Raw genomic sequence first — 19,180 nt, 5'->3', positions numbered from 1 at the left:
ACACCACATTAATAGAATAAAGAGGGAAAAACCTCACATGATTATCTCAAAGTAGAAAAAGCATCTGACAAAATTTAACATCCTTTTATCATAAAACATCCAACAAACCAGGGATAGAATAAAATTCTCCATCAGGATAAAGACCACATATGTAAGTCTCATGACCAGTATTATACTCCATAGTGACAAACTGAAAGTATTTCCACTAAGATTAAGACAAGACAAGAATCCCCACTTTAACACTTTTATTCGGCATAGTATTGAAAGATCTATTCAGAGAGATTAGGCAAAAAAAAAAAAAAAAGGCACCCAGATTGGAAAAGAAGTAAAATTATCTCTGTTCTCAGATGGTATGATCTTATATATAGAAAACCCTAAATATTACACACACACAGACACACACACGCACACACACACGTTGATGCTACTAAGTGAATTCAGCAGGATTAATTGCAGGAAGCAAAAAATCAACTCATAAAAGTTAGTTGCTTTTCTATGCACTAACAATGAACAACCTTAATAGAAAATTTAAAAATCTATTCAATTTACAATAGCATCAAAAATAATAATATGAAATAAATTTAATCAAGGAGGTAAATACTTGCACAATGGAAACTACAAAACATTGTTAATAGTTATTAAGAGAACATAAAGAAATGGAAAGTCACTCCATATTCATGGAGAGGAAGACAATATTTTTTGGTGACAGTGTTAATTGAAGAGATTTACAGATTCAATGCAATCTCTTTAAAAATCAAAATTCTGTTTTCTTTGGAAAGAGAGAAACCCATCCTAAATACAGATGAAAACTTTGGGGACTCCAAATAGCCAACACAGTCTTGAAAAGTAAAGAAGTTGGAGGATTCACAAGGTACCAATTTCAAAACTTATTATAAAGCTTCAGGAATCAATACTTTGTGATACTGGTACAAGGACAGACACACAGACCAATAGAATAGAATAGAATAGAATAGAATAGAATAGAGTAGAGTAGAGTAGAGTAGAGTAGAGTAGAGTAGAGTAGAGTAGAGTAGAATAGAATAGAATAGAATAGAATAGAATAGAATAGAATAGAATAGAATAGAATCAATCTTTACGTACAAATTCAATTGCTACTTGACGAGAGTGCCAAGACCATTCAATGAGGGAAAGGGCAGTCTCTTCAGCAGGTGGTGCTGGGAAAACTGGATAACTACATTCAAAAGAATGCAGTTGGACCTGTACCTTACATCATGTACAAAGATTAACTCACAATGGATCCAAAACCTAAACATAAAACTTAAAACTCAGCAACTTTTAGAAAGAAATATAGGAAAGAAACTATGACATTGAATCTGGCTATGATTTTTAGATATGACACCAAAAACATAGGCAAAAAAAAGATCAACAAGAGATCAAATAGATAAATTGGATTTAATTGAGTTTAAAATATTTGAGTATTCAAGGACATTGTCAAGTGAGTAAAAATACAACCCACAGAATGGGAGCAAATATTTGCTGATCATACATATGATAAGGGATTGATATCCAGAATATATAAAGAACTCTTAAAACTTGTCAGTAAGAGACAACTCAATTAAAGCATAGGCTTAAATTAGACTTATCTTCAAAGCCAAAGTACCTGGAATTTGCAAAATCATTGAGATAGAAAGTAATTGCATAGAGATTTACCAAGGGCGTGGAAGAGCCGTAAAGGGGAGTTATTTAATGGCTATAGAGTTTCTGTTTGAGATGATAAAAAAGTTCTGGAAATACTGGTGATGGTTGCCATGCATCATGAATGTATTTAGTGCCCCTGAACTGTACATCTCTATGGTTAAAATGGCACATTTTATATAATGTATGTTTTGCAACAATAAAAAAGTGAAAAAGAAATTAAATGCATTCCTAGAGAGACAAAAGTTGAGAAAATCTATTGCTAGCTAACCTGCTCTATATAAAATACTAAAGGAAGTTCTGGGGGCTTAAAGAAAATGATGTCAGACGTTAACTCAAACATACAAGAAATAAATAAATATGATCAGAAGTGGCAATATGTGGATGAATATAAAATTGCACATATGTGTGTGTGTGTATACAGGCACACCTGGGAGATATTGCAGGTTTAGTTCCAGACCACCAGAGCAAAGTAAACTTTTTTAGTTTTTCAGTTCATATAAAAGTTATGTTTGCACTAAACTATAGTCTACAAAGTGTGCAACAGTATTATGTCTTAAAAACAATGTGTATACCTTAATAATTAAAAATATTTTATTGCTAAAAACTGGTGCCACAGAGACACAAAGTGAATAGATGCTGTTGAAACAGGTGACGCTGATAGGCTTGCTGGATGCAGGGGTTGCCACAAATCTCCGGTATGTAAGAAATGTAATATCCGTGAGTTGCAATAAAGCCAGACATGATCAAACAAGGTATGTCTGTAGTTGTTTTGGGGAGCCACCAACTGTACCCACATATGACTAAGAAAATACATTTTAGAAATGGTTTAAAAAGTAATTTAAAATTGCGTTGAAATCTCTCTCTTAACACAAAACAAGGCAGTAAAAGATAAACAGAACAAAAAAGTCAATGAGACAAATAGAAAACAGCAAAAATATCCCAGAAGTAAATCCAATCATATCAATACTTAACATTAAATTTAAGTGAAATAAATGCTTTGATCAAAAGACAGACTTAAAACTGGACACAAACTGAAGTACATGCATACGCTATATACAAGACATACTTTAGTTTTAAAGAAATGTGACATTTTATAGGAAAACTTGCCTCAGAAAACCATGGATTCTGAGTTTATTTGCCGTAGTTTTTCTTTAGCTATGGATATCTTGCCATGGTTTTTCTCAGTATAAGATATTTTTGTACTAGCAAATGTAATTATTCCAACTGGCAATATCAGAGCAGTTCACTTGCCCTCTGCCCTCACTCCCTCACCCCTAGGAAAGTTCTTCAGTAAAAGGAATGAATAGATCAGAACCTAACTGCTTTAACTCCTTCCTCACTTCGTGAAAAGCTTTTCTTTGGTATACAGTTAAAAGTGTAACTGCTTGTAGAATGGTTAAATTTGAAATTATTATTATTTTCAATTATGTACTTTCTTAGTATTTTTTTTTTTTTTCTGAGACCAAAGCTGCGTCTACCCAGGCTAGAGTGTAGCTGAGACTACAGGTGCACACCACCACGCCTGGGTAATTTTTGTATTTTTTTTATAGAGACGGGGTTTCCCATGTTACCCAGGCTGGTCTTGAATTCGTGAGCTCAAGCAATTGGCCCACCTCGGCTCCCAAAGTCCTTAGATTACAGGCGAGAACCACCGTTCCTGGCCTCTTATTATTTTTAAACTTTGTTTATTGCCTCCTCTGTTTCAGAAATTTAATCTTTGCACCTTGTCTTCCATTTTGTCCATCTTCCTTTGAATGATCTTTATCTGTATTTTTTTTTCCTGCATGCTGCCTAGCTACTTGCATACAAATCGTTTCCATAATCTGATTTTATGATTTCTTAAATTGTTATTTACTACTTATAACAATAATTCAAATTATGCTACTAAGAAAGAAGGTTTTTTTTGTTTTTGTTGTAAAGTTGCCTCATGTGTCTTTTACAAAATTTTCTTTACAAATAGCAGAAGTCATTTTCATAAAACGTCAGGTGTTTTTTCAGAACGAGATTGACTTCCATGATATTTGTATTTGCTTCACCTCTTATTTAGTTTTTTCCATGCCTTTTAAATTGAACTATTGAGTAGTTTTAGATTCACTGAAAGGTGGCAAAAATAGTACAGAGAGTTCTCATATAACCCACACCAACTGTCCCCTATAATTAACATATTAGCATGGCACATTTTTCATAATTAATAAGCAAATATTGATATATTTTCCATTTAAGTTCATACTTTATTCAGATCTCTTTAGTTGTTTAAGTACTGTCATTTTTCTCTTCCAGGGTATCATGGGAATATCACACCACCTTCGGTTGTCACGTCTCCTTAGTTCATCTCCTTAGTTCATATCAACTGATATCAGTTTCTTAGACTTTTCTTGTTTTTGCACAATAGCTTATTTTATTAATTGTGGTAAAATATACATAATCTATAATTTACCATGTAAACATTTTCAGTGTACAATTTATTGAAATTAAGTATGTTCATGATGTGCACCCATCACAACTATTCATTTTTTTTTTATTATACTTTAAGTTCTAGGGTACATGTGCACAACGTGCAGGTTAGTTACATATGTATACATGTGTCATGTTGGTGTGCTGCACCCATTAATTCGTCATTTAACATTAGGTATATCTCCTGATGCTATCCCTCCCCACTCCCCCGACCCCACAACAGGCCCCGGTGTGTGATGTTCCCCTTCCTGTGTCCATGTGTTCTCATTGTTCAATTCCCACCTATGAGTGAGAACATGCGGTGTTTGGTTTTTTGTCCTTGCTATAGTTTGCTGAGAATGATGGTTTCCAGCTTCATCCATGTCCCTACAAAGGACATTAACTCATCATTTTTTATGGCTGCTTAGTATTGCATGGCATATATGTGCCACATTTTCTTAATCCAGTCTATCGTTGTTGGACATTTGGGTTGGTTCCAAGTCTTTGCTATTGTGAATAGTGTCGCAATAAACATACGTGTGCATGTGTCTTTATAGCAGCATGATTTATAATCCCTACACTGTTGGTGGGACTGTAAACTAGTTCAACCATTGTGGAAGTCAGTGTGGCGATTCCTCAGGGATCTAGAACTGGAAATACCATTTGACCCACTACTATTCATTTTTAGAACTTCTCCATCCTTCCAGACTGAAACTTTGTACCTATTGTAAACTAAAAATAAGTCCTGAGGCCCCACCAACTGAACAGACCCCAGCTTGCCCAAGGGGACCCCCAACATCCTTAAAACTGAGTTCCCAGCCACAGTGGGATGGGCGGTCAGATGCACCTCTTTATGGTTATGCCTAAACCATAGGCATAACCTCCTCCTTTTTTATGGTGTAGGCATAACCAGCCTTAGTGTTAAAATAGAGTTCATGAGACTGACTGAACAGACTCTTCCTGGCAATAAGACACTGAATTATAAACAGGACCTCAGGCCATGCCAGGCAAGGGTGAAGTCACAACTACACTTAAAAAATAAACTATGTCCCTAACTGCCACGAGGTTTTTCTTTATCTCTAGCACCTAAATAACTACTGTCCTTGAGAGAAGCAAGATTAAAACAATTACAACTCACCCAGTTCGCAGACATTTGACTAACTGACTCAGTTCACAGACATTTGATTAACTGACTCCCTTTTCCACCAGCCTTAACTACAGCTTTCATTGGATAAGCGACTGATTTCATCAACTTTCTCCTGGTAAAAGACCACTGACCATGGAGTGGTTCTGGGCTGGTTTACAGAGGCATTCACAGGCCTTTGTGTCCTGAAAGGACCTTTTGATGTAGAGAGCTTAACTGTAACACATCATATTTTAGGCCTCCACCCCAAAGTGAACATGCATGGTATGTTACACACGTTTGTTCAAAATGTGTGTCAGGACCCCCTTCATGAATATTCATAGCTTGCTCTCCCTGTAACCTATTGAATATATATGTTTAGCCACTGTGTCCAGCATAAAGCTCCTACCCCAAACTCTGCTCCTTCTAAGTGCCTGTCTCTGATCTTGGCTGGAAGCACATTTCTCAGCTTGTGGGGTGGCCACCTTGCCCCCTGTAACCCTTTACAAGAAATAAGTCTCCTCTCCTTTTCTAAAATTATAAATTCTGAGTTTTTAAAAGTTGACACTATTAAACACTAACTCCCCATTCCCACCTCCCCCCTAGGCCTTGATAACCATCATTTTACTGTTAGTATCTATGAATTTGTCTACTCATTCTAGATACCTCCATAAGTGTAAACCTACAATACTTGCTCTTCTAACCCAGCTTATTTGACTTAGCATAATGCTTTCAAGATTCATGTACTAGAATTTTCATTTTTTAAAAAGAATCAATAATATTTCATTATATGTATACACCACAGTTTGTTTATCCTTTTATTGACTGATGGACATTTGGATTGTTTTCACCTATGGCTGTTGTGAATAATGCTGCTATAAACATTGGTTTGCAAATATCTATTCAAGTCTTTGCTCAATTATTTTGGGTATGGACCTGGATTATATGGCTGTTCTATGTTTAACTTTTGATAAATTGCTCTACTGTCTTCCATAGTGTCTGAACTATTTTATATTCCTATCATCAATGCACAAGTTTACTGATTTATCCACATTTTGGCTAACATTTATTATTTTGTATTTTTTTTTTTGGATATGCCTATGGGTATAAAGTGGTCTCATTATGATATTAATTTGCATTTAATTAGCAATTCCTGATGTTGAATATCTTTTCATGTGCTTATTGTCCGTTTGTACATCTTTATTGGAGAAATGTCTATTTGAGTCTTTGACTATTTTTGAATTGGGTTATTTGTTCCATTGTTGTAGAGTTTTAGGAGTTCTTCATATATTCTGGATATTAATCCTTTATCAGTTATGTGACTTGCAAATATCTTCTCCCAATATATGGGTTGCTTTTTTATTCTCTTAATAGTTTCTTTTGATACACAAGTTTTTAATTTTCATTAAGTCCATTTTATCTATTTGATTTTTTGTTGCCTCTACTTTTGGTATCACATTCAAAAAATTACTGACAAATTTAATGTTTTTAATATTTTTATCTATGTTTCATTCTTAGAGTTCTATAGTTTTATCTATTTATTTATATTTATTTATTTTTTCAAGACAGAGTCTCACTCTGTCACCCAGGCTGGAGTGCAGTGGTGCAATCTCGGCTCACTGCAACCACTGCCTCCCAGGTTCAGGCGATTTTCGTGCCTCAGCCTCCCGAGTAGCTAGGATTACAGGTGTGCACCACCATGCCTGGCTAATTTTTGTATTTTTAGTAGAGACGGGGTTCCACCATGTTGGCCAGGCTGGTCTCGAGTAAGAATTCTATAGTTTTAGATCTTACATTTAGGTCTTTCATCTATTTTGAGTTAATTTTTGTACATGGTGCAAGGGAGGGGTACAACTTCATTTCTTTGCATGTGGCTATTCAGTTTCCAAACATTATTTGTTGAAGACTGTCCTTTCCCCTACTTAATACTCTTGGCATCCTTGTTGAAAATCTTTTGAGCATATATGTGAAGGTTTATTTCTAAGTTCTTTATTCTATACTATTGATCTATATATCTTCCCTTGTGGCAGCTACCACACTTTTTAAAAAATTACTCTACCTGCCCCCATCTATTTACTTTGTATTGTATACTTTGGGGAGTTTAGTGTTTTTATTTTTTTAAATAAAAATAAATAAGGTAGTGCATCAGAAGATAATCTATTTGAGATGCACATTTATGTATTTATCTATCTTTACCATTTTCACCATTTTTAAAATTGACACATAATAATTATAAATATTTATGGACTCCATAGTGATGTTTTGATGTATATCATGTATAGTGATCAAATTAGGGTAATTAACATTTGTTAAAGGACACAAATTTACAGCTTGATAGGAGGAATACATTCTAGTATTCTATAGCAGTGTAGAATGAATATAGTTGACGATAATAATATATTATATAGTTTAAAATAGGCTGAAGGAGGATATTGAATGTTCCCAACGCAAAGAAATGATGCACGTTTGAGGTATACATTTAATTGAAGAAAAAAAATATATATGTATATATTTTGTTTTTGTTTTTGTTTTTTTTTTGAGACGGAGTCTCGCTCTTTGGCCCAGGCTGGAGTGCAGTGGCTCGATCTCGGCTCACTGCAAGCTCCATCTCCCGGGTTCACGCCATTCTCTCGCCTCAGCCTCCCGAGTAGCTGGGACTACAGGCGCCCGCCACCGCGCCCAGCTAATTTTTTTGTATTTTTAGTAGAAACGGGGTTTCACCGTGTTAGCCAGGATGGTCTGGATCTCCTGACCTCGTGATCCACCCTCCTCGGCCTCCCAAAGTGCTGGGATTACAGGCGTGAGCCACCGCACCTGGCCGAAGAAAATAATTTTTAAATTCGCTGCCATGAGTCACGTATTCTGCCTGTGGTTTGTTCTACAATCAAGATAAAGTTAGGGCTGTAAGATAGCCAGGTTTGTCTCATATTTATGGCCAAAACACGTTTTTAATGTGATTCACACCTGTGGTAATTCTATCCCAAATAGTCTATTTCAGGATGGAGTTACCCAGGTGAAACCACCCTATCAACATCACATGACCGACCAAATCCTAATAATGTCAATGGATATGGAGCAGACCATTCTCCAGATCCGTCTATGACCAAGGTTCAGTTTTTGGTAAGTGAAAAATTTTAGATCTGCTCTTGGTCATGTATTGGAGCAAATCCCATTAGTGCAAAATACCCCATGATTTTAGGAACATGCTCAGTTGTTGCCATTAGTTTTGCATCCTGTCAGGGATTTTCACCTTCCCAGAAGCCTTCTTGTACAGTTAATAGGACATTGAAGGATGGAACTCTCAGAAACTTTTATTTTACTACCCTCCTAGTTGTCTTATCATGGGTTCTTATTGAAACCATAATTCATTACTATTCTGGAGTTCCATGTCATGGCAGTGGAGTCTACAATGCACACAAAAAAGTCACACAAATTTTTGTTTCCAGTCTCTTGTATTTTGTTATTTTAGTTGCAAATGGGAACATTTTGGGAAGAGACATCATTTAAAGACAACATACCTCTCTGGTATTCATTTGGTAATTATTAATTGATTGTAATATTATTTATTTATTATAAATTGACTATTATTGTCTAAAATTTATGGGGTATGAAAATACAATGTGGAGTAATTAAATCAAGCTAGTTACTGTATCTGTCACCTCAAATATTTAAAAATTTTCTAGCGAGGACATTTGAAATTACTTTTGAAATGCACAGTACTCTATTTTATTTATTTATTTATTTATTTATTTATTTATTTATTTATTTTTGAGGCAGAGTCTTGCTCTGTCACCCAGGCTGAAGTGCAGTGGTGCGATCTCGGCTCGCTGCAACCTCTGCCTCCCAGGTTCTAGCTATTCTCCTGCCTCAGCCTCCGGAATAGCTGTACAGGCGCATGCCACCACACCTGGCTAATTTTTGTATTTTTAGCAGAGAAGGGGTTTCACCATATTGGTCAGGCTGGTCTCGAAGTCCTGACCTCAGGTGATCCGCCTGCCTTGGCCTCCCAAACTGCTGGGATTATAGGCGTGAGCCACTGCGCCCAGCCTCTATTTTTAACTATATTCACCACATTATGCAGTGGAACTCAAAAAGGAGGAAAAGATATTCTTCCTGTCTAATTGGGATTCTGTACCTTGTGGCCAACATTTCCTCATTTTCCCTGCCCCTCAGCCTCTGTGACCGCCACTCCAAAGTCTGCTTCTATGAGTTCAATTATTTTAGATTCCATACGTAAGTGAGAACATATAGTATTTGTCTTACTGTACCTGACTTGTTTTACTTAGCATAATGTTCTCCAGTTCCATTCATGTTGTCCCAAATGACAAAATTGTCTTTTTTTTTTTTTAAGGCTGAATAGTATTTCATTTATCCATTCTTTATCCATTGATTGACTGACAGACATTTATGTTGATTCCATAATTTGGCTATTGTGAATAGTGCAGCAGTGAACATGGGAGTGCAGATATCTCTTTGTCAAACTGATTCAAAATCTTTTGGGCAAATACCCAGACGTGGGATTGCTGGATCATATGGTAATTCTATTTTTAGTTTTTTGTGGAACCTCCATATTACTTCCCATAATGATTGTGCTAATTTACATTTTCCACCAACAGTGTGCAAGTGTTCCTTTTTCTGCACAGCTTTGTCAACCATGTGTTATCATTCAGCTCTTCGATGAAACCATTAAGACAGGTGTGAGATGATATCTCTTTGTGGTTTTAATTTGCATTTTTTGAATGATTAGCCGTGTTGAACATTTTTCCATGCATCTGCTGGCCATTTGCATGTCTTTTTTTGATAACTATCTAGTCAGACTTCTTGCCCATTTTTTAATTTTTTGTTTTGTTTTGTTTTCTGCTATTGAGTTCTTGGAGCTCCTTATGTACTTTGGTTATAACTCTTTATCAGATATGCGTTTGCTAATATTTTCTCCCAACCCTTAGGTTGTTTTTGCAAACTGTTAATTGTTTTCTTTGATGTGCAGAAGCTTTCTAGTCTGATGTAATCTTGTTTGTCTGCTTTTGGACTTGCTGCCTGTGCTTTTGGAGTCAAATCCAAAAAAATCATTGCCCAGACCAATGTCATATAGTTTTTCCCCCTCTGTTTTCTTCTAGTAGTTTAAGAGTTTCTGATTTTATGTTTAAATCCTTAATCCATTTTGGGTAGTTTTTGTGTATAGTGTGAGAGGTAGGTCCAATTTTATTCTTCTGCATGTGGAAATGCAGTTTTCCCAACACCATTTATTGAAGAGACTGTATTTTTCCCATTGTGTATTCTTGGCAGCTTTATAGAAAATCATTTGTCTGTAGGTATGGGTTAATTTCTGGGTTTTCTATTCCATTGGTTTACATATCTTTTTTGCCAACACCATGCGTTTTAATTACTATAGCTTTGTAGTATAGCTTGTAATTAGATAATGTAATACCTCCAGCTATGTTCTTTAAGTAAGCCACTTTCAGAAGGCAGTTCACTATAATAAAAAGTAGGGTTAGTACCTCTTCTGTGTGATCATAACACTCAGTAAATAAATCAATGATTGCACTAGCCACATTGAAATGTAGGCCCTGAGTTTCTTGATAGCTTTATTTTGGTCTTACTCATATTTGTAAACTAACAGCACTTAATATGCAGCAGGTGAAAAATGAATGTACATTAAACTCACTATTGATCAAATACTAATTTAACTTTTTCTGTATAACATGTATGCAGACAGACAGACACTGAAAACAGAATAAGAAAAATACATGTATGTGTGTGTATATATATATGTGTATATATATGTGTATATATACATATATATGTGTGTATATACATATATACTCATGTGTATATATACACATGTGTATATATGTATGTGTATATATATACACACACACACACATACATGTATCTGTAGTTATTGAGCTTATATTTTAAATGGAATATATTTGTTTTAAAATAATCACCAAATAAGGAGTATATTGTAAGTTGTGCTGTAAAGAAAAAAGTACATGTTTTAAGTGTAGATGATAGAACCTTTATTTTGTCTCTATAAAGAATGAATAAATATGGTGAAACATTTGTAATGTAATTATAAAGATCTATATCAATAATTGGAAATACCTATTTAAAAAACAAAATATGAATAGGCCAAGATTAGTTCAATTGCCGAAAATGAGAATGCAGTAATTGACAAGGAAGGCTCATAAGTGCAATTAATTGGCAAAAGGTGTAAAATTAATGAAAGTCATTTAAGGAAGTTGGAAGACCTTCTTAAGGGTCCTTTTTTTCTAAATTGGTCACCCTCTGCACAGTGTGATTATCCCCGTTGTTCTTTGCTTGATTGGGCACAGACCTCAGAGCAGCCTGTGATGATGCACGCTCTCCTAGGATGTTCTCAATAATGAACACGCATTGATGTAGTGAGTTCTTGTAGTAGCTTTGCTTTTCCTGGCAGAAAGAAATGTGCTTCATTAGAGTAAGTGCAGATTTTTCTCCAAACACTATAAATGGCCCTACAGACCTTCTTCTCAGATAGATTGTGATCAGCTCTGAGGCCTTTTTCATCTTTTCATCTCTGCCTCTCTAGTATCTATCAAGTACTCAATACTAATTGGTAATCAGCAAATAGTAGTAGAATAAATGAACATTTATATTCCTAAAATTTGTTAAATAAATAAATTGATATATTAACTATAGAATGTTTTTAGTTAATAGTTTGTATTTAAATTTATGTTTATTTTTGACATTGCCACATATAACTACATAGCAAGTAATTATAGAATATCCGTTTGTATGCAAAAGTTTATGGGTGAAAGCATAAATATGCCTGTAATATGTGCAAACATTTTTACCATATGTGTATACACATATGAACACACACATACAAACATGTATGGTGCCATTTTAATATAAGGAACCACTGCCACAAGGCACATGGCATTTCAGTACACATATAGAAGATGTATAATCTCTTGCTGATAAATACTTAGGCCAATAATTTCCTGGAAACCTCATGTACAGGTTTTTGAAGACTCTTGAAATTCGCTGGGTTTCCCCTGCCAAAATTATGATAAATTGTCAGGGTGGAAAGTTTACACACTTAAAATGATTAATTTAATTTAAGCTTCTTGTCCTCTTGTGGACAACTAATTATACAAATAACAATATTGTTTTCAGATTTTTTCTGAGGTCATTATAAATAAATTTAAAAATATATATATTTCTGATGTCATTATAAATACATTTTAAAAATATATTTATATTTGTAGTTGATATATTTATATTAACTGTTTTTTGTATTATGAAAATCCAAATGTGTATCCCTAAGATATATATAACATTTCCAATATACATGCACATGTAACATTCACACACACACACACACACACACACACACACACGAGCACTATAAAAACCCAAATATCCTTTTATTTTGTCATACCCATCTCCTGGTAATTCTGAGCTGCTGCTAGAAACCCGTGCCACTTTATTAATTGTGTCCTAGTATTGATGGCATGGAAAAAATACACTGAGAAAAAATACTAACTTCCCTCATTGCTACAGTATTTTTACCCTTCTTTCTACATATTCTGTATCTTTTTTTCCTATTTTCACAACTTCTATTTTCAAATCCTAAGACTCATTTTTATAAATTAAAATGTACAAAATGTGAAGATGATAATGAGATTTCATGGCAAAACTAAGTAAACACTGCAACATTTTTATACAAATGAATATTTATCCACATACAGGATATAGCCTATGATTATTTATTTTGAAAACAATATGTTTTCTAAAAATTCAAACAGATTTCAGTATTTGTTTATACATATGTTTTAAGTTATAGCTAAGAGGACAGTTTACAAGAGTGATTTCATATAAGATCCTCTGCAACTTAATATTGTAGCAAAATCATAACTTCGGTGAAATTTATTAGAAGGTGAAATTGCATTAAGATTTTTAATGGAACTGGTGCCAGGTTCCATGTCCCCCTATCGATAGTTTCATCCAATATACAATAGCCATGAAAACACAATGCTTTATGTTAATGAAACTTTGTCACCATCAAAAGTTATTTATCAGTGTCTGATAGTGTTAGGTGATACATATGTACTGATACAGGGAAACTTATGTTAAGATTCCGGTCCTCCAAGGCAGTGACATTAAATATTAGCAGGTAGAAAATTTTGCCTCAGATGCTGCCATTTAGTGATAATGCTCATTTTACTTCAGTTCTTGTTTTGTGGATAATTTACACTCCACATGAGGTTAAGACCTAATCCATTTGCTTGTTATCCTGTATTTTTAGTTATCCTTGTTAGGCCAATATTCTGCACAATATCTGGAAAGTCTTTGGAATCCCAGGCACTTAATTATGTAAGATGAGTTTACATTATTAACATAGAAGGGCTATAGAAACAAATGAAGCTCTTTCAGTGAATAGAAAGAAGAAAATAAAAATTGATCTTTAAAGAGAATATTGAAGCTTATTATTTTCCTCCTCTGCTCCCTCCTTTGACATTTTAAGTTGCCTATTTGGGGATCTTTCTCTCATTACTAAATATCTTCAGAGAGCAACCCTGCTCTGCAGCTTCAGAATACAACAGGAAGAAAAGAGAACACCGAAATAGATCCCACAGTGGAGGACAATAAAACTTTATTATGTTCTCACAAAATTCCCCCCTCCCTTTTCTTTCAACTCAAAGGTATAGAGTTAAAGATCACGTAAATTTTATAGACCCCCGAAATCCCTTTTTTAACACATCTAAGTTTCTGAAAGGTTAAGTACTTCCTAGTTGAGCAGTTTCTGAATGAGTTCCTGCATATAAACACAGACACATTTCTTTTGTGTATATCAAAATACATGTCTGGACGGACATTTTCTGTCCACCATTGTAACCATGCCTTACTTGTAAAGATGTAGGTGCAAAGGAATTTGGGCGCTATTTTAAAAGGCAGCCACCTAAGCCAATTTCAGCAGCAAATTAACATTTAGGGACAATAAGAAACCTATGAATGTTGCAAAAGGAGAAAAGAATAGCACTACAGGGATAGGATGAAGCATATAAAAAGTTACCTTACTCTAGAAATGAAACCTTTAATTATGATGCCTGTGAGAAGAGTGACCTGAATGAAATGGAACGTAGTTGAATGAGCCGTGGAAGGTTGAGAATTTGAGTCCCCTTTGTAGATGGCAATAGAAATAAATTCAGCCTTCCCGTCTCCTGTCTCTATCATCCTAAATATGAGGCTCTGTTTCTATATTAGCCTTTCAAAGATACTTTGATCTGCACTTTCCACTCAACCTTGTTTGCAGTTGAGTTTTGTTAAGTTGTGCTTAGTTATCAATAATCAATCATAAAAGGATATTGGGAAACCCACTAAGGGGAAAAGTTCCACAGCAACCTGTTTCTTGTAGGCTGAAAAGATTGCTAAGCAGATTCTTTCCTTACTTATTCACTAGTTTTGTTTTTTTTTTTTTTGTATTTTTTTGTTTTTTTTGAAACGGAGCATCATTCTGTTGCCCAGGCTGGAGTGCAGTGGTGTGATCTTGGCTCATTGCAACCGCCACCTCCTGGGTTCAAGAGATTCTCCTGCCTCAGCCTCCCAAGTAGCTGGGATTACAGGCATGTGCCACCACACCTGGCTAATTTTTGTATTTTTTGTAGAGACAGGGTTTCACCATGTTGGCCCAGCTGGTCTCAAACTTCTGACCTCAGGTGATCCACCCACCTCGGCCTCCCAAAGTGCTGGGATTACAGGCGTGAGCCACCTTGCCTGGCCAGCAAACTAGTTTTGACAGCATACTATATGTCAGCCATACTCTAGGCTCTGGAGGTATGAATACTGAATAAAACCACAGAGTCCCTTCTCATGAAACTTTCATTCCATGGGTGAGAGATAGCCATGAAGCAAACAGGCAAGTATGCACTAAATTCCCTCCATTCAAAAATCCATAATTGTTCACGCTTTAATCTTTGACATTGAGGTTCATCTTACAATTGAGCTCATCTTATATTCACTTTTGGCTAGGTGGCATTTGTGGTATGTAAACTTAATTATAATTCTTCATATTTTAGATATTTGAGTCATATGAGTTATGTCCATTGTACCACACATGTTGAGTTTATTTGCCATGTAAAAGTATTTTCTAAGAGACCACATTATGACATGACATCAATGCCAAAATTTTTATGCAGAAATGCACAGATATAAACCAGCAGGACATAAATTTAATATTTGTTAGACGAATATTCATTATTGGAAGAATACCTGATTTCTATACTTTCCTGCAGAGCAATAAGCTTTAACATGCTATGGCTGAGAAAACAAAAGTGCCTATATATAAATAAAGCTGTTGACTTATTTTCCAACTGAGATGTATGCAAAAGGCACTGAACTAATACAGACCAAGCAATTCATCAGAAGGCAGTGCCAAGACCATAATATGAGGCAAGGCGGAAGTCAAGGTGCGATTCAGCCAATTTTAAATGCAAATAGTTTATTACTTACATCAATGCCTAATGGGGGCCAGCTCCCTGCAGTCCTTGTCCTAGGTAGCAAAAATGATATCAAAACCAAAGATGCTAGGACACAATCCAGCGTGACTTATGGGACATGCTGAGGCTCAGGAACACAGTCTAGACCTTAGCTGAACAGTTGTAAGGTCTGAAGCTGTCCCTTTACGGGGAGGAGCAGAAACCTGAGAGGCAATGAGAAACTGACTTATGATGCCTCCCAAGGTAGACAGGGAGACCAATGCAAGTAGCTTTTTGGCAGGGGTGGGAGGGTGGAGGGAGAAAGGGTCTCATTCTGTAGCTCAGGCTGGGATGCAGGGGCACGACCAAGGCTCACTACAGCCTCAACCCTCTGAACTCAGGTGATCCTACCACCTCAGCTTCCTGAGTAGCTGGGACCACAAATGCTTACCAAGACACCCAGCTAATTTTTGTATTTTTGTAGAGATGAGGTTTGGCCATGTTATCCAGGCTGATGTCAAACTCCTGGGCTCAAGCGATCCATTCACCTTGGCTTCCCAAAGTGCCAGGATTACAGGTGGGAGCCACCATGACCTGCCACGAGAAGCTTTTGAGGCAGCTCATTACAAGCCCCCCATCCTCTCTTCTTGCAGAGATCATAAGGTGTTCCTAAGTAGATCTGTGCAAGATCACCATGGCACCATAGCAGAACAGTTTCCCTACAAGCAGCAAATGTGGCTATACCCCTTGGAGGAGAAAAAGTTCTTCAGAGTAATAAGAGGCTGGTGTGACAGATTTATGTATTTGACTTTAGTCAAATCAAAAAAGCATCCATCAAAACTTGTACAATATTCAGGAGCAGAGAAGAAAATGCAAAAGTCATTACTAGAGCATTATTTTTTAGAAAAAACACCAAATTATTAATAGCTCTTGAATGTACAAAATATGATATTGTGTAGAAAATCAGGGATATAGACAATTTACTCTTTCTTAATGTGAACAAGTTTTAGGAATAACTCAACCTTTTTTGTTTGTCCTTTTCATTTTTTTATAAGCATAAGGGTGACAGGTGATAGAAATCCATGTTTAAGTATGTCTAAAAGAGCTCTCTTAGTATGATTAAAATAAAAATTCAAATCAAATAAAGTATTGTTTCACAGTTTAATTAGCAGTATATTGTTGGGAATAGGCCTCCAAAATCTGGCCATAAACTGGCCCCAAAACTGACCATAAACAAAATCTCTGCAGCACTGTGACATGTTTTTGATGGCCATGACGCCCACGTTGGAAGCTTGTGGGTTTACCGGAATGAGGGCAAGGAACACCTGGCCCACCCAGGGCGGGAAACTGCTAAAGGCGTTCTTAAACCACAAACAATAGCATGAGTGATCTGTGTCTTAAGGACATGCTCCTGCTGCAGATAACTAGCCCAACCCATCCCTTTATTTCAGCCCATCCCTTTGTTTCCCATAAGGAATACTTTTAGTTAATCTATAATCTATAGAAACAGTGCTTATCACTGGCTTGCTGTCAATAAATATGTGGGTAAATCTCTGTTTGAGGCTCTCGGCTCTCAAGGCTTTGAAACCCCTGATTTCCCACTCCACACCTCTATATTTCTGTGTGTGTGTCTTTAATTCCTCTAGCGCCACTGAGTTAGGGTCTCCCCAACCAAGCTGGTCTTGGCAGTATATTTTCTTTCTTAGTGATACATAAAATAACCATGTATCTTACAATCATTGCAACTTATATTTAATTAAATAGTTTATGTAAGGGGGTGATAAACGCTATGGAGAAAAATGAAGTGTGGTAAGATGGAGAGAGAAGTAAGGAAGCAGAGACTATCTCCTAAAAGACATCAGAGGAGCCCTCTATGATGAAATGATATTTGAACAGAGACTGTAGGAAGTAAAATTGGAAGCCATGTGGATATCTGGGAGAAAAAGATTCTAGCCACAGGTTAAAATACTTACAAAGATCTTGAGACCAGAACTGGCTTGGTGCACCTGAGGAAGAGCAAGGAGGCCTGAGTGGCTCCAGGATTGTGAATAACAAGAGGAGTGCTGTTAGGTGCCGGAGTCAGAGAATCAGCAAGGCGGGAGGTTGTACAGGGTCTTCAGTGCCATGGTTAGTACTCCAGCTCTTTCTTTAAGGGAGAGAGGAAGCCACTGGAGAATTATGAGGATAAGCATGACATGCTCTGACTCATGCCTCAAAGGCATCATTCTGGCCACTATTTTGAAAATAGTAATAAAGAACAAGTAGAAAGTGGGGAGATCTTTTAGTAGGTTTGAGCTTTGGTAGTGATGAAGATGAACAGAAGCATATACTGAACATATTTAAAAACTAGAGCCAACAACATTTGCAGATGGATTGGATGTGGGATATGTAAGAGAAAGAATTAATAAATGACGCTCAATTCTATGACCAGAGCCACAGGAAAGATGAAATTGCCACCTGCTGAGGTAAGATGGACTATGGGGGAAAGATGAGAAAGCAGGAGTTGGAAGTTCAATTTTAAATGTGCTATGTTATAGGCTGGGCACTTGGCTTGCGCCTATAATCCCAGCACTTTGGGAGGCGGAGGCAGGTGGATCACTTGAGGCCAAGAGTTCAAGACTAGCCTGTCCAACATAGCAAAACCCCATCTCTACTAAAAATACAAAAATTAGCCAGGCGCAGCACATGCCTGTAATCCCAGCTACCCAGAGGCTGATGCACGAGAATCACTTGAACTCGGGAGGCAGAGATTGCAGTGAACCGAGATTGTGCCACTGCATTCCAGCCTGGACAATAGAGCGAGACTTGGTCTCAGAAAAATAAAAATATAAATAAATAAATAAATAAATAAATAAATAAATAAATAAATAAATGTGTTACACTATAAACATCTTTGATTGTCTATCCAGGCGGCAATGGCAAATTGAAAACTGGATGTAAATGTTTGGTGGTCAAGTAACATATATGAGTAAGATATTAATTTGGAAGTTATGAGCATATAGGCTTCTTCAGGAATGTCTCCTATATTTCCTTCTAGTTTAAATTCTGGTGAAATCTACACCCATGTCCAAATACAGAGAAGAAGAGGGCCCTTATGCCTCTCAGGTAAGTGCCGACAGATCCCGATGGTTGAAGAACCAGGCTTTCTGAGGGAGAGGCTGTTCTTTGGACCTTTTTCCCTTCTTTCCCTGCCTCCGAGGTTGCCAACTCTGTGACGGTTCATCCTGCAGGGACTGGCTGTCATCTAGCCACTTGAGTTTACACGCACACCAAGTTCGTTTTCTAATGGGGAATCACACTGTAATTATAATTTTGAAAAACGTGAAAAATAATCAACCTGTCTTCAGTCCATTGACCACTTGAAAGGAACCACTGAAAGAAGCTCTTCGTCAATGTTTGAAGAAGCAGTACCAAATAACAGCCATCAGTACTACCAGCACTGAATGGTCTACAGAAATAAAATATGATACTCATTGAACCTTAGGTTTCTCAGGAAATAACA

General features: G+C 36.3%; 1 long non-coding RNA gene across 1 annotated transcript; it reads left to right on the top strand.

Moving 5' to 3' along the window:
* The first annotated feature begins 782 nt into the window (after positions 1–782).
* LOC105373521 (uncharacterized) lies at positions 783–18,959 on the top strand. Its single transcript, XR_923125.2, has 3 exons — positions 783–871; positions 18,716–18,783; positions 18,909–18,959. It is a non-coding gene; the product is annotated as an uncharacterized LOC105373521 (long non-coding RNA).
* The last annotated feature ends 221 nt before the right edge of the window (positions 18,960–19,180 follow it).

The sequence above is a fragment of the Homo sapiens genome, chromosome 2 (genome assembly GCF_000001405.40).
Source record: "Homo sapiens chromosome 2, GRCh38.p14 Primary Assembly".
Lineage (NCBI taxonomy): Eukaryota > Metazoa > Chordata > Mammalia > Primates > Hominidae > Homo > Homo sapiens.
This window is presented reverse-complemented; position numbering and strand designations above follow the sequence as displayed.